General features: G+C 43.6%; 1 protein-coding gene across 2 annotated transcripts, besides 1 other annotated feature; it reads left to right on the top strand.

The window, feature by feature from the left end:
* Positions 1 to 5665: 5665 nt before the first annotated feature.
* Positions 5666 to 15632, top strand: CTSV (cathepsin V). 2 transcript variants are annotated; one of them, NM_001201575.2, is made up of 8 exons: positions 5666 to 5702; positions 7256 to 7391; positions 7694 to 7816; positions 7911 to 8057; positions 8562 to 8786; positions 9616 to 9781; positions 10466 to 10583; positions 12261 to 15632. In NM_001201575.2, the coding sequence occupies exons 2-8, from the start codon at positions 7266 to 7268 to the stop codon at positions 12358 to 12360; spliced, it is 1005 nt and encodes a 334-aa protein (NP_001188504.1). In that variant the 5' UTR covers positions 5666 to 5702; positions 7256 to 7265; the 3' UTR covers positions 12361 to 15632. The 2 variants fall into 2 exon arrangements, with proteins under 2 accessions (NP_001188504.1, NP_001324.2); NM_001333.4 differs by lacking the exon at positions 5666 to 5702 and adding an exon at positions 6167 to 6238.
* Positions 5823 to 6132: a silencer, noted in NCBI's record as "silent region_20097". NCBI's record gives its function as "represses an Ori minimal core promoter by ATAC-STARR-seq in GM12878 lymphoblastoid cells {active_cell/tissue: GM12878}" and the evidence as "EXISTENCE:reporter gene assay evidence [ECO:0000049][PMID:35858748]".
* Positions 15633 to 15823: the final 191 nt, after the last annotated feature.

The following is a 15823-nucleotide window of genomic DNA, read 5'->3' as shown; positions in this document are numbered from 1 at the left end:
AAAGACTTTATTAATACAAGATATTGCAACAAGGAGATGCTCAAAGCCGAAACCAGAAGTGTCTCAGGAAAAGGGTGGGTAAGCAATGCTTTTTTATGCAGAGACCATGGGACAGCTGGCTGTGAAAAGAATAAGGAGGGGTTGTAAAAGCTGCTGTGTGGGGATCTTGAAACTTTTTTGTTTTTTGAGACAGGGTCTCCCTCTGTTGCCCAGGCTGGAGTGCAGTGGTACAGTCATAGCTCACTGCACCCTCAACCTCCTGGGCTCAAGCCATCCTCCCACTTCAGCCTCCTGAGTTGGTGGGACTATACGCACGCACCGCCAAGCTTGGGCTATTTTTATTTATTTTTTGTAGAGACAAGTTCTCCCTATGTTGCCCAGGCTGATCTCGAACTCCTGAGCTCAAGCAATCCTCCCGCCTCCGCCTTCCAAAGCGCTGGGATTAGAGACATGAGCCAATCACTAGGCCTGGCCAGGGTCTTGAAACTTAAAAGGCCGTGTCAAGCATTGCAAGGGAAACACAAGGCAGAAAATGTTGCCAGTACTCAGGTACATGAGGCAGGGATCTGAGGCTGAGATGGAGCAAAAAAGTCACAGTGTGGGAAGTTCCCAGGGAGTGTAGGGTCCAACTCTCTTAGTCAAGCCAGCCTTAAGTTATTTTATTTTATTTTATTTTATTTTTATTTTTTAATTTAATTTTATTTTATTTTTTGAGACAGAGTCTCACTCTGTTACCCAGGCTGGAGTGCAGTGGCATGATCTCGGCTCACTGCAACCTCCGCCTCCAGGGTTCAAGCAATCCTCCTACCTCAGCCTCCCAAGTAGCTGGGATTACAGGCGCCCGCCACTAAGCCCAGCTAATTTTTGTGTTTTGAGTAGAGATGGGTTTTCACCATGTTGGCCAGGCTGGTCTCAAACTCCTGACCTCAAGTGATCTGCCTGCGTCAGCCTCCCAAAGTGTTGGGATTACAGGCATGAGCCATCGCGCCTGGCCAGCCTCAAGTTATAATAAACACAAAGTTTTTATCAGCATTGTCAAGAAACTGATTTTAATTTTGCCACGTGTACCAGGATGTTTATAGCCCCCACTGACAACAGGTCTTAATTCCTGGCCCCTGAAGCTGTTATCTTAAACAGCAAAGACTTTGTAAATGTGATTCCATGAATAGTTCTGAAATGGAACGGTTATCCTGGGTTACCTGAATAAGCCCTAAATGCAATCACAGGGTCTTTATAAGAGGGAGGGAGATTAGACACAGACAGAAGAGATAGCAATGTAGTCACAGAGATTAGAGTGATGTGGCCACAAGTCAAGGAATGCGAGCAACCACCAGTGCTGGGACAGGCAAGGCACAGATTCTCCCCTAGAACCTCAGGAGGGAGGAAGGGAGGGAGCCCTATCACACCTGGTCTTTAGCCCAATGATGCCTGTTTAGGACTTCTGGCCTCCATAACTGTGAGGGAATAAAGGACTCCTGTTTCAAGCCACCAAGTTTGTGGGGATTTGTTATAGCAGACACAGGAAACGAATACACCTTGTTTCTTGAAAGGACTTTTTGAGGTTTGAAGAATTTTTCAGATTTGGCTGAGAGTTTGTGGATTACTGTTTTAGAGGAGGGGAGAAATTCCACCATTTCTCTTGTGAATTGGTTTCCTTGTTACTTGCTATACAAAGATGCTTCACCATAGTTCCATTTAAATATATCTGTCCTGTTCAATTTGCTATAGAACTGAAATTACTGTAGTGAACCACATATTTAAATATGGAAAGGCTGAACCTCAGAAAGCTGTTAGGAAAGCTAAGAATGTGGAAGTGAATGCTCATGCTACACCAGAAGAGGAGAACTGGTACCGAGTAAGAGCTGAATTCTCATTGATTGATTTACGTGCTTGATGAATTGGCTGATAGTTTAACTCTACAGGAAAAGCACAGTTACAGTAACCAAGAAAAGTAGTTATTTCATAAGTGGTTTTATATGAACCTCAAATCATAAACAGGCTGTTTGCTATACGATTATCAATGGTGACAAACCATTTTGCAAGTGGACAGTTTGCTGGATAATGCTTCTTAAGAGTAATTCTTGGCTCAGTGAATTTAAACAAATCGGAGGGGGTTATTATACTGGGGAGAGGTGTTAAGTGATGTCAGGGTCTTGAATGCCACCACACTAAGTTTGCCAGTTCCCCTATGGTTTAAAATTTCCGGAGACTGGGTAAAGAATCACATCCTCTTTTATTTATTTATTTATTTTTGAGACAGAGTCTCACTCTGTTGCCCAGGCTAGAGTGCAATGGCGCAATCTCGGCTCACTGCAACCTCCACCTCTCCGCGATTCTCCTGCCTCAGCCTCCCAAGTAGCTGGGACTACAGGCATGCACCACCACACCTGCCTAACTTTTTTTGTATTTTTAGTAGAGACAGGGTTTCACTATGTTGGCCAGGCTTGTTTCAAACTCCTGACCTCAAGTAATCCACCCACTTCAGCCTCCCAAAGTGCTAGGATTACAGACGTGAGCCACCATGGCTGGCCTATATCCTCTTTTAATAGTGAGTAAAAGAAAGCTACACAGATGCACGTGAGAATATACTTTCACAGGCACTGCGTTTTAAATAGGAATCAGGAAGTTCTGCCAACTCCATTTTATTAAAGGCATAACCAAGGCTTGGTTGCTTCACTAACATGTGACTGTTCTAAAAATTATCACTCATCAAAATTATTTTGCAAAGAAATAGGAATAGAAGAGTAGGGAAAGAAACAAATATTTAAATACAACTGTCCTGGCTAGTAATACCACATTTCTGTAATGCATTTTTTTACAGATGTGTATAAATAGATATAAATAGGTGTCCTAAGTTGGAGCAATAACGTCTTCCACCCTCTTGCTTATTGGCTTTCTCCCATATTTCTTCTGCATTTACATATTTCTGGTATAATTTTAGATTTGGGGCACACTTGGTTTGAAAAGGGTCTATGTTTTCTCCACTACTTTTGTCTCACATTCCAAAAAACAAAGGGGATGCCATTCTTCAGGGCAGCACCTGCCACTCATCTGCTGTCAGGCTATTGCTTAAGGCACAGATCTTAATGGCCTGGCAGGTTTCTCCACCCTACAATCTTAGGGAGCTGTGGCCCAAGGGCAACTGTAAAACCCACGTGTTAGAATAACTTAGCTTTCTTGTGATAGACTGAGTAAACAAATAGACAATGGCCATAGTATATGGCAATAGAACTCTGACCCACAGAAGAAATGAAGCATAATATCTGCAGAGACCAACTCAGAACAGTCAGGACTTACTCAGTGGCTGACAGCTTCCTCATTTTTGCCTCTGCTTCCAACCCAGGACAAACCAGAAAAACCAAATATACTCCACAAACAAATCACATAAGACGCTCCATCTCTAGTTATCCCTCCTTCAGCTTCTCCATGACGACACTCTGCAAAGAGGACATAGCTGAAGTTGCCCCCTTTTTCCCCTAAAGCTTTTCTTCTCCCTCGTCTTTGAATTATCTCCTTTGTTATAGCAAGTTCTGAATATATGGCCTCTGTTTGTTCTTAGGTGGTGGTCTTCATTTATTTCCACATGTGAATGATGATTGTGTTCAACACAATGATTAATTTTTAAAAAAGAAAAAAAACAGCTATTTGCAGTACAAGATGCTTTTTTTTTTTTTTTGAGACGGCAAATTTGCAGTACAAGTACAAGATGCTTTTTTTTTTTTTTTTTTTTTTTTGGGACGGCATCTCGCTCTGTCACCCAGGTTGGAGTGCAGTGGCGCATGCTCTGCTCCGCTCACTACAACCTCAGTCTCCCAAGTAGTTGGGACTACAGGCATGCATCACCATGCCTGGCTAATTTTTGTTTGTTTGTTTTGTATTTTTGGTAGAGGTGTGATTTCGCCATGTTGCCCAGGCTGGTCTCAAACTCCCAGGCTCAGGAGATCCACCTACCTTGGCCTGCAATACAATATACTTTTGTATTTTTTATATAACCACCTGACAGCTTTGGCCCCTAGTTGTATTTGAGAGGGAAAAGCTGCTATTTATTTAAAGGAAGGACATATAATTATTAATAAATTGATTTTTAAAAAGATGTATTTGCCTGATGGTGCTTCTGAAAAGTTGTCAGTTTAATTGTTTTTAATTTGTTAAAAGAAAATCCATAGCCAAATTAAATTTAAGAGAATTTAATTGAGCAAAAAACAATTCGTGAATCTGGCAGCCTCCAGTGCCAGAGTAGGCTCAGAGAGACTCCAGTGCAGCCACATGGGGGAAGATTTATAGACAGAAAAGGGCAAGTGAGGCACAGAAACTGCAGGATTGGATACAGCTCCATGTTTGCCTTATTTGAACATGGTTTGAACAACTGAACCTCTTTGATTTACAGAAATTCGGGGATAGGCACAAGAGCAGGCTACAGTCTGTTTACACCTCCATTTAGATTACAATTCGCTATGTACAGAGAAACCTTTAGGCCAAACTTAAATCACATGGGGAGGCAGCTTTAGGCTAAACTTGATTTCACAAATTTTCAAATTAACAAGTAAAAACTGTGGATATTATTCAATTTAATCTTTAAGAGTTTATTAATCAATATGCATTATAACTTCATTTTTGTAAAAACAAAAAAAGATATGCCTAGAAAAGGGTTATGGAGAGGGCACAAGGGACGTTTATTTTCTAAAACATATTTTTTATAATGGATTTTTTTATATAACTTTAAAAAGAATTAGAAACGTTTCTGAATTATTAATGATTTCCTTAAATCTTTAGCTACATATATTTCTCCATAAAGAGCAGTTCCTCAAACTGCATCACCTCAACCCTGATATTATATATTTTTATTTTTATTTTTATTTTTTGAGACAGAGTTTCGCTCTGTCACCAGTCTGGAGTGCAGTGGCACGATCTCAGCTCACTGCAACCTCCGCCTCTCGGGTTCAAGCAATTCTCCTGCCTCAGCCTCCTGAGTAGCTGGGACTACAGGCGCCCGCCACCACGCCCAGCTAATTTTTGCATTTTTAGTAGAGACAGGGTTTCACCATGTTGGCCAGGATGGTCTCGATATCATGACCTCGTGATCCGCCCGCCTCGGCCTCCCAAAGTGCTGGGATTACAGGTGTAAGCCACCGCGCCCGGCCGGTATTAAACATTTTTAAAGTAAATTTATTAAATCTCAAAAGAAGCACACTTTGAATACTGAGGAAGAGACGTTGTAACCCATAAGCAGAGAGTAGGTAAGTAAAAGCAATTTCCACCACTCTCAGACTGGGCGTAGTGGCTCACGCCTGTAATCCCACCACTTTTGGGAGGCTGAGAGGGGAGGATCGCTTGAGGCCAGGAATTCAAGAGCAGCCTAAGGAAACTTAGCCAAACTCCATTTCTACAAAAGAAAAATTTTTAAAGCAATTTATTTCACCATTCTCAACGCTTTTCTCTTTTTTATTAACCAAATATTTCTGTAACTCTTTTTTTTTTTTTTTTTTTTTTTTTTGGTATTGAAAGACATGGGAGAAGGAAGAATTCCTGAATGCAACAGACTGGGAAGGACGCACCACAAAACGCTCCGCGGTCTCTGGACACCCTATCAGCTAGTCCCGTCCCTCCTGGTGTCCGGTCTCGACCATCCATCCCGTGTTTTGGGAGTGCCTTTCCTTACCAGATTCTTCTAAAGCCCTGATGCACCCACCCTTAAGTGGAAGGTAATGCTTCTGCTGGGGGCTGTGCGTTCTTCCACTCCGTCCCACCTTTGCCGTGGACTAAACAGGAGCCACTGAACGAGAGTACCCTGGCTCCCGGCCCTGCAGATTTTCACCAAAAACTCTAGGACTAAGTTAAAGTAGGGACTGAAATACCACACAGAGCTCGCTGTAAACCACCCGCTCAGCGCAGTAAGTCGGGATAGTCAGTAGATCTGAGCCCTTGAGGGAGGCGCCTCCCCCTCCTCCGCGCAGCCCCCGGGCGCCCGGCCCAGCTTCCCGCAGCCAGGGTGTATTGAGGTAGGCGCGCCCAGACCTGAGACGGGTTGGGACTGGGCTGCGTCACGCGCGGGCTCTAAGCGCCCGGGGCCCCGCCCAGTGGCCGGCACAGCCAATCGCAGCGCGGGAAGGCGGTGGGGGCGGGGAAGGCCGCCTGGAAACTTAAATCCCGAGGCGGGCGAACCTGCACCAGACCGCGGACGTCTGTAATCTCAGAGGCTTGTTTGCTGAGGGTGCCTGCGCAGCTGCGACGGCTGCTGGTGAGCGCCCCCGACCAGACCGAGGGACAGGGCGAAGGGGGACTGGAGGAGGGAACCCCCCTTTAGGGACACTGAGAGGAGGCGGGCGCTTCTGGGAGTGAGAGCTTCTGCCCGGAGCTCTGCCAGCCTCGAGGTGGGGAACGGGGGAGGGCGGTTGGAGACCCCAGGGAGGCGCCGGCACCACTGGGAGGGCCCGGGCGGGGCAGGTCAGTCATCCTGTGGGCTGAAGCCGGACCGGACCGGGCGGCTTCATGCCCCCAGCCTGGCCGCGGAGCCCCCGCTCCCTGCACCGCCGCAAACATTCTCGGGGCGCGGCGGCGCGTGCAGAGGGCGAGAGCAGGCGGTGCGGCCCCGGTCCTGGCCCGCCCGGAGCTCCGGGAGCTGCCTGCCTCGGTCCGGGCCCTGGCCCTGGGGCCCCTGGCTTCCAGCGGCGCGGCCTTGTGACCCTGCCCCGGTTTAGGGGAGCGAGTAGCACAGACCCAAGTGTGGGACGGCGGGAATAGTGGGTGCTCTCCTTCCCAGTGTCTCCTGGAAAGGGATTCCCGAAAGGTTTTATTCCAAAAGGAGAGGTTGGAAGACATAGCTCATCTCCTGCTGTGTATCAGCCAAGAAGGTGTGAGGTGGTGTTCCTTGGGGATCCGCTTGCATCTACTTGGGATGGTACGTCTTCATTAGTGAGGTTTTGCCTGGATGACCTCAGTACAATTGGTGCAAAACCTGGACCAACTCTTTCCTAGTTTTCTAGTTGTTGCCTTAAGCTTCTCACCCGTCAGGTATCTTTCACACCCTTCTCATACCCTAAATTATCGCATATGCTGTTTCAACGCCTCCAACTCTGCAGGCTGCTTTTAATTTTGGTGGGCCCATCAAATACCTCCACTTGGCCTGTTTCAGCCTCTTCCACAGTCCTTGGGGAAATGCTAGGGAGAATAATTGAAATATTTCTATTCCACGGGGGCTGTAAGATGGCTTTTTAGGATTGGTCTAATCAGATACTCATTTCTTTTCTCTTTCTAGGTTTTGAAACATGAATCTTTCGCTCGTCCTGGCTGCCTTTTGCTTGGGAATAGCCTCCGCTGTTCCAAAATTTGACCAAAATTTGGATACAAAGTGGTACCAGTGGAAGGCAACACACAGAAGATTATATGGCGCGGTTGGTAACATCTGAAACTGTCCAGAGGGACTCTGGAGAGAATGGTCCTCGCTGTTGGGAGTTGATAGCCAGAGAGTAGCTTCTAGACACCAGACCTTACCAGGCAATAACCTAACAGCACCCATTATAGGTGCAATATGGGCATATATCTCCATTGTGTCTTGGCTTGGAGAACAGCTCCCAGAGAAGTATCAACCCATCCCTGGCCATGGTTTCTCTTCCATTTCTGCCCGCAAATCGGCTTGGTGAACATGGGTTGGGTAAGTAGACATAAAGTCCACCAGCTATATGTTTGCCTCTAGAATGAAGAAGGATGGAGGAGAGCAGTGTGGGAAAAGAATATGAAAATGATTGAACTGCACAATGGGGAATACAGCCAAGGGAAACATGGCTTCACAATGGCCATGAATGCTTTTGGTGACATGGTGAGTGTGGCAAGGATTGCTGAACTCTGTGCTGCTTCTCAGTTCTTCACCAAAATAGTCTTGCTTTTAACATTTTATTTACTTCTCCTTGAAGACCAATGAAGAATTCAGGCAGATGATGGGTTGCTTTCGAAACCAGAAATTCAGGAAGGGGAAAGTGTTCCGTGAGCCTCTGTTTCTTGATCTTCCCAAATCTGTGGATTGGAGAAAGAAAGGCTACGTGACGCCAGTGAAGAATCAGGTGAGACAGCGTCAGATTCAGACCCTGTCTCCACAGGAAAGCCAAGAAGGAATTGGTGTCATTGCTGTGGTAGATGGTGGCACAACATATGGTGATGGGTTTTTTGTATTTTTGGTTTTTGGTGTTTTTTTTGTTTGCTTGTTTGAGACGGAGTTTAGCTCTTGTTGCCCAGGCTGGATTGCAATGGCGTGATCTCGTCTCACTGCAACCTCTGCCTCCTGGGTTCAAGAGATTCTCCTGCCTCCACCTCCCGAGTAGCTGGGATTGCAAGTGCTCACCACCATGCCCAGCTAATTTTTGTGTATTTTTAGTAGCGACAGGGTTTCACCATGTTGGCCAGGCGGATTTCAAACTCCTCTCCTCAAGTGATCTGCCCGCCTCGGCCTCCCAAAGTGTGGCGATGGGTTTTTTTTTTTTTTAAAGAATATTAAGGTAATTCAATTATGGGGTACTGTATTTGTATTGGTCTTGTAAATTTACAGCTTTTTTTTTCTCCCTTTTTAGAAACAGTGTGGTTCTTGTTGGGCTTTTAGTGCGACTGGTGCTCTTGAAGGACAGATGTTCCGGAAAACTGGGAAACTTGTCTCACTGAGCGAGCAGAATCTGGTGGACTGTTCGCGTCCTCAAGGCAATCAGGGCTGCAATGGTGGCTTCATGGCTAGGGCCTTCCAGTATGTCAAGGAGAACGGAGGCCTGGACTCTGAGGAATCCTATCCATATGTAGCAGTGGTAAATGGAGCTCCTTATCTTGTCATTCGTGCTCTGCTTTTGGAAAGTGGAACACTTTCAGAGATAACAGATACTTTTTTCAGAATTCACATTTTATATGGTAGAATCTACATCTGCAAACCGTGAGTATTGTCATTATAAATTATTAGCCTTTGGCCAGGCGTGGTGGATCACCTGTAATCCCAGCAGTTTGGGAGGCCGAGACAGGCGGATCACGAGGTCAGGAGATCAAGACAATCCTGGCTAACACAGTGAAACCCCGTCTCTACTAAAAATACAAAAAAATTAGCCCGGCCTGGTGGCGGGTGCCCGTAGTCCCAGCTACTCAGGAGACTGAGGCAGGAGAATGACGTGAACCCGGGAGGCGGAGCTTGCAGTGAGCCAAGATCGCACCACTACACTCCAGCCTGGGCCGCAGAGCGAGACTCCATCTCAAAAAAAAAAAAAAATTATTAGCCTTTGCACAGTTCTCTGGTGAGATGGTCAACAGCTAATGGTTACCATATAAGTACCATTAGATGGTTAACACACAGCTGTTCTTGCTTTTACATAACATGGAGAATAAGCAAACCATTCTACATATAATAGAACTTTATCCATTGTGAAAAATTTTTTATGGACAGATTGACCTAGGGGTTCTCATTGAAGAAATGTCAACTAATTTTTCATTTTCAAATCAACAAATAGCATTTTATTTCATGGGACGATTTATAAGGGTGTTGATTTGGAAATCCTAGGTTGCAAATTGCTGAGTGTTTCGGTTCTAGAACTAATGTTCCCCAGGAGGTAGATGGTAGTGATCAAGTCTCTCCCCCTTTAACTTTAAAAGGATGAAATCTGTAAGTACAGACCTGAGAATTCTGTTGCTAATGACACTGGCTTCACAGTGGTCGCACCTGGAAAGGAGAAGGCCCTGATGAAAGCAGTCGCAACTGTGGGGCCCATCTCCGTTGCTATGGATGCAGGCCATTCGTCCTTCCAGTTCTACAAATCAGGTAAGTGTCATTTTATTATAGAAATTTAGGCAGAATTGGGAAGCATCACTGTGATTGATTCTTGGATATGACATCCTGCTTTGCAGGAATGTAGTATTTTGAGAGTGAGCATTTAACATAGTGATGTTTGCATTTGACATGAGAAAATACTTAGTTATGTTAAACTTCTCATAAATATTTTTAAATGGCTATGTAATTGTATAGAGACAACCTAATTTTCCAAACTATTTTCCAGTTGTTGGGCCTTTTTTTCTCAAAGTTTTTTACTACTGTAATTAGGACTGTAAAGAATCCCCTTCAAGTTTTTGTTTGTTTATTTTGGTGCTATTTTAGACTGACATCCTAGGAACAGAAAGGGATTATGCGAGTTGGTATTTGGGCTCAGAGATATCTAAATCACCTTAGCTGTAAACAATAGGTTTTATCTTTTGGATTTTCATTTTTTTTGGTAGAAAATATCTTGAACTTAGTTGAAGTTAGTTGATTTCTAGTGAGTTGAGGTTGACTTTTTTCCTTTATCAGCCATTACTGTTTTCCGGCCAATATTGTTTGGGTCCTTATTTGGCATTTGTTTATGACATTTTACTGAATTTAGAGATGCCTCCCTTATGGAGGGTGGTAGGGTGGGTTACTGTCACATGTCGCTTGGAGCTTCTCACCCCAGCATTAATTTTACTCTCCCAGGCATTTATTTTGAACCAGACTGCAGCAGCAAAAACCTGGATCATGGTGTTCTGGTGGTTGGCTACGGCTTTGAAGGAGCAAATTCGAATAACAGCAAGTATTGGCTCGTCAAAAACAGGTATAAAACTCAAAATTGAAAAGGGAATTTTTGTTCCAAATCAGTATTTGGATACAAGTTCACAAAAGCTCAATTTCAAAATTCCGAAAGTCTTTCTTCTACTTAGAGTGAACACAGAAATATTAATGTTTGATTATAAGATTCCGTACCAAGCTTTTTGGAGTTATTGCTATGTATTTGTAATATTTTATTACTAAGTTTTGAAAATTTTTAAATTCTGAAACACATTAGTCCTCAAGGGTTTCAGACAAAGGACTGTGGACCTGTAGGTTTGAGAGCTGATTGCTTTTTTCTGTCTAATTTTTCAACAAGGAATAGTAAGCAGAAACATCTGCCTCTGCTGGTTCTTTGTTAAGTCTGAGAGATCATCCGGGAGTCCAGTGGTCTGTGTGCATCCTTCTATTGTCATTGGATGCCCTGTCATCGAATTTCACTCCCCAGCTCTCAGGCTTTGAAGGTTGTCAGAATCTATTTTCTCACAATTAGCATTCTTTAATTGAGATGTGACATAAGGTAGTATGTGGGGACAGACTGCTACAGTGGAATTCCAGTTCTGCCTCAGTATCTTAAATAGTTAAGGACCCACAAGAATCAATATATTCATTCATTCATTTGTTTATTTATTTTTTGAGACAGAGTGTCGCTCTGTCACCCAGGCTGGAGTGCAGTGGCACGATCTCAGCTCACTGCAACCTCTGCCTCCTGAGTTCAAGTGATTCTCCTGCCTCAGCCTCCCAAGTAGCTGGGACTACAGGGATGTGCTACCATACCCAGCTAATTTTTTTTGTATTTTTTAGTAGAGACGGGGTTTCACCATGTATGCCAGGCTGCTGTCGAACTGACCTCATGTGATCCGCCTGCCTTGGCCTCCCAAAGCACTGGTATTACAGACATGAGCCACCGTGCCCAGCCAGTTTTATTTTATTCTGAGATGGAGTCTTGCTCTGTCACTCAGGCAAGAGTGCAGTGGTGCAATCTCGGCTCACTGCAGCCTCCACCTCTCGGGTTCAAGTGATTCTCCTGCCTCAGCCTCCCAAGTAGCTGGGACTATAGGCATGCGCCACCACGCCTGGCCAATTTTTATGGGGGTTTTTTTGTTTGTTTTTTTCTTTTGAGATGGAGTTTTGCTCTTCTTGCCCAGGCTGAAGTGCAGTGGTGCAATCTTGGCTCACTGGAACCTCTGCCTCCTGGGTTCAAATGATGATTCTCCTGCCTCAGCCTCCCAAGTAGCTGGGATTACATGCCCGGTTAATTTTTTTTTTTTTTTTTTTTAATTTAGTAGAGGCAGGGTTTCACCATGTTGGTCAAGCTGGTCTCAAACTCCTGAAACCTCAGGTGATCCACCCGCCTCAGCCTCCCAAAGTGCTGGGATTACAGGCATGCACCGCACCTGGCCAATTTTTGTATTTTTAATAGAGACGAGGTTTCACCAGATTGGCCAAGCTGGTCTCAAACTCCTGACCTCAAGTGATCTGCCCACCTCGGCCTCCCAAAGTGCTGGGATTGCAGGCGTGAGCCACTGTGCCCAGCCTCAGGACATTTATAAATGGATATTAACAGCATTTAGAATAGTGCCTGACACATGGGAAGCACTGTTTAAGTATTAGCTATTATTATTAATGGAGCCAATTTTCCCTTGATTCCTTGTATAAAATGGAAAACCTGCTCCTCTTTCAGCTGGGGTCCAGAATGGGGCTCGAATGGCTATGTAAAAATAGCCAAAGACAAGAACAACCACTGTGGAATCGCCACAGCAGCCAGCTACCCCAATGTGTGAGCTGATGGATGGTGAGGAGGAAGGACTTAAGGACAGCATGTCTGGGGAAATTTTATCTTGAAACTGACCAAACGCTTATTGTGTAAGATAAACCAGTTGAATCATTGAGGATCCAAGTTGAGATTTTAATTCTGTGACATTTTTACAAGGGTAAAATGTTACCACTACTTTAATTATTGTTATACACAGCTTTATGATATCAAAGACTCATTGCTTAATTCTAAGACTTTTGAATTTTCATTTTTTAAAAAGATGTACAAAACAGTTTGAAATAAATTTTAATTCGTATATAAAGGTGGGCCTTTTTTTAATGCATTGGCTTTTTGTGTAGTCAGGAAATATAATTAAGCTCTGAAATAATAACTTCATGTGCCAATGGTATGTTAGGAGAAAGATGCTAGCAGAAAGCTGGCTTCCTGGCTCTTGAGTAGTTATAAAAATACAGACTTTATATCAGCTGCCCAGTTACTGTGTGTTACCCAACTCCTGAATCTACCAAAATTTGATAAACAATTTGGAAGGACAAACCTACATTTTTTTTTTTTATGAGACGGAGTCTCTCTCACTCTGTCACCAAGGCTGGAGTGCAGTAGTGTGATCTCAGCTCACTGCAACCTCTGCCTCCCGGGTTTAAGCAATTCTCTGCCTCAGCCTCCCGAGTAGCTGGGATTACAGGCGCGTGCCACCACGCCTAGTGTATTTTTAGTAGAGAGAGGGTTTCACCATCTTGGCCAGGCTGGTCTTGAACTCTCGACCTCGTGATCCACCTGCCTCAGCCTCCCAAAGTGTTGGGATTACAGATGTGAGCCACTGCGCCCAGCCCCTAAATTGTTTTAGTAAAGAAGAAAGCAGTTGACTTTTTAGAAAAGGAAATGTCTTCTTCCTTTGACACATAACCTCAAGATGGTTAGGTTACGTGATAAAAAGTGAAGCTGCTTGTTACTGGAGCCTCTCTGAATTGCTGGTGACCACTTTGCAGTCTGAGGAAGACGCAGGTGCAAGTAAGTTACCAAGGGTATTTTGTTTTCATTCCAAGTCTCTGATGACATATTCCACCTAGCTCTTCTAGAAAAGCTTATTTGTTAACTAGTGTTAGCAAAAATAAATGGTGTGGTTAACAAATCTCAGGCATTTGACAGTAGCTGGAGAAATTTGTTCAAGGTCCACAAGAGATGAGGCTGGGCTACAAAAAGAGGCCTCTGGCCGAAGATGGATAAGAGATCACAAGTGAAAGGTCAGAAGTCACTAGGCCAGACTCTGGCTACCTAATCCCTGAATTAAAAATAAACTCAAAATGGGGGGAAAAAGGCTAAGCATATAGTTACACAGGTAGTAAATACAAATAAAACGATATTTTTGCATATTTAAAATACTGGAAGAAAGTACACCAAACTTGTGGGTGAATTATGGGTGGTTATTTAACTCGTTTAGTGAAAAGCATGTATTTTTATGAGCAGGAGAAAATAGTAAAGATATACCCACATTCTGCAGGCTAAAGGAGAGCCCTGTGTGTGTTTTAAAAGCCCATGTTTCCAGTCAAATAAAAAATTACCGGGGATGAGCTGGTGAAATTTAATCGAAAGGTGATCCATTGTGAATGCAATGGGAGGGAAGGGGCATGTGGGACTGTGTATCCCAAAAACCCTTTGATAGCCTATGTCCACAGCCATCTCTGGAAAATCCAGTCTACCATATTCAGTCTTGAGTTTTCTCTGAGAAAGGATTCCTTCGTCTTTGCAGCAGCAGGCTAAGTTGGTACTCTCCACAGATTCTTGGAACAACAACCCAGGCTCTAAGGAAACATCTAGGCACTAAATTGAATGAAAGAGTGATGGCTTTTTATTCAAATAAAAAAATTTCAAATCTGTCAAAACAGCACCCCTCGGAAAACTAAAATAGAGATATTTCAAGATTTTATAATTTTCAAAGACCTTTGAAATATTTTAAACTTGTGAAAAGTTACAAACCTGATGTGTTGTCTAAAAGCGTTTTTCAAACAAGCCAGTAGACTTGAAAAATCTAGTCTGAAGCACAGACTTAACCAATATTTGCTGGGGATATGCCCCCAAATCTGGCCATAAACAAAATCTCTGCAGTACTGTGACAGGTTCATGATGGCCATGACGCCATGCTGAAGGTTTACCGGAATGAGAGCAAGGAACACCTGGACCACCCAGGGCGGGAAAACGGCTTAAAGGCGTTCCTAAACTACAAACAATAGCATGAGCGATCTGTGCCTTAAGGACATGTTCCTGCTGCAGATAACTAGCCAGACCCCATGCCTTTGTTTCGTTTGGGAAGGAATACTTTTAGTTAATCTATAATCTATAGAAACAATGTTTATCACTGGCTTGCTGTCAATAAACATGGGTAAATCTCTGTTCGGGGCTCTCAGCTCTGAAAGCTGTGAGTCCCCTGATTTCCCACTCTGCATGCTATATTTCTGGGTGTGTGTCTTTAATTTCTCTAGCGCCTCTGGGTTAGGGTCTCCATGACCAAGCTGGTCTCGGCAAATATTTCCTATACTCGAACATCTAAATTGTTTGTTTTCTTACTTGAATTGCAAAGGAAGTAAGGAAGGGTGAGATAGAAATCACTGAGCATATTAAGAGGGAGGAGTTTGCTGATGTGGGAGTGTAGTTATGACACTTGGGCATCATACTAGAGGCTATGGACTTAGCAATAAGGAAACATCCACTCAGCCCTATGTGTGGTTCATGTGTATGTTTTGCCTATGAAAGTTGAAACTGTTTTCTAAATGTTATTTCCTTTTGTAACTGATAAAATTTCTAAAAAGCAAAGAAGAAACTTTTCTGTATTAAAAATAACAAACATTAGTAAATGTATATATACAGTCATGTGTTGCTTAATGATGGGGATACATTCTGAGAAATGTGTCTTGGGTGATTTCATCGTGACGTGAACATCATAGAGTACACTGACACAAACCTAGATGGTATAGCCTATTACACACCTAGGCTATATGGTACAGCCTGTTGCTCCTAAGCTACGCACCTGTGCAACACATCACTGTGCTGAGTACTGTACACAGTTGTAACACAGTGGTAAGTATTCGTGTATCTGAACAGAAAAGTACAGTAAAAATATAGGATCATAATTTTATGGGACCACTATCATATATGCAGTCACTGACCAAAACATCACACAGCACATGACTTGTGTGTATGGATATCTCAATTGTAAACAATTTCACAAATGTTCATTATCTCTTTTTAAGTAAGTTAATAAGTAAAACTATTACTAAGCTGCAACGTGTTCTTGTTCTGCAGTGTATTTATTCATTTGGATACAGTTGATTCTTGAACAATGCAGAGGTTAGGGGCACCAACCCTTGTGCAGCCAAATATTTGCATATAACTTTAATTCCTCCAGAACTTTTCTACTAATAGCCTACTGTTGACTGGAAGCCTTGCTGATAACATAAACAGCCAATTAACACATA

This window comes from Homo sapiens, chromosome 9 (assembly GCF_000001405.40).
Source record: "Homo sapiens chromosome 9, GRCh38.p14 Primary Assembly".
NCBI classification, from domain to species: Eukaryota; Metazoa; Chordata; class Mammalia; order Primates; family Hominidae; genus Homo; species Homo sapiens.
Note: the sequence above shows the minus strand (reverse complement) of the source record. Positions and strands in the feature narration are given on the sequence as shown.

Coding starts and splice junctions, on each gene's coding strand:
- CTSV (NM_001201575.2), top strand. CDS start 7,266: ATGAATCTTTCGCTCGTCCTGGCTGCCTTTTGCTTGGGAATAGCCTCC. Junction 9,782..10,465: donor CTTCCAGTTCTACAAATCAG/GTAAGTGTCATT, acceptor TTACTCTCCCAG/GCATTTATTTTGAACCAGAC. Junction 10,584..12,260: donor TATTGGCTCGTCAAAAACAG/GTATAAAACTCA, acceptor CTCCTCTTTCAG/CTGGGGTCCAGAATGGGGCT.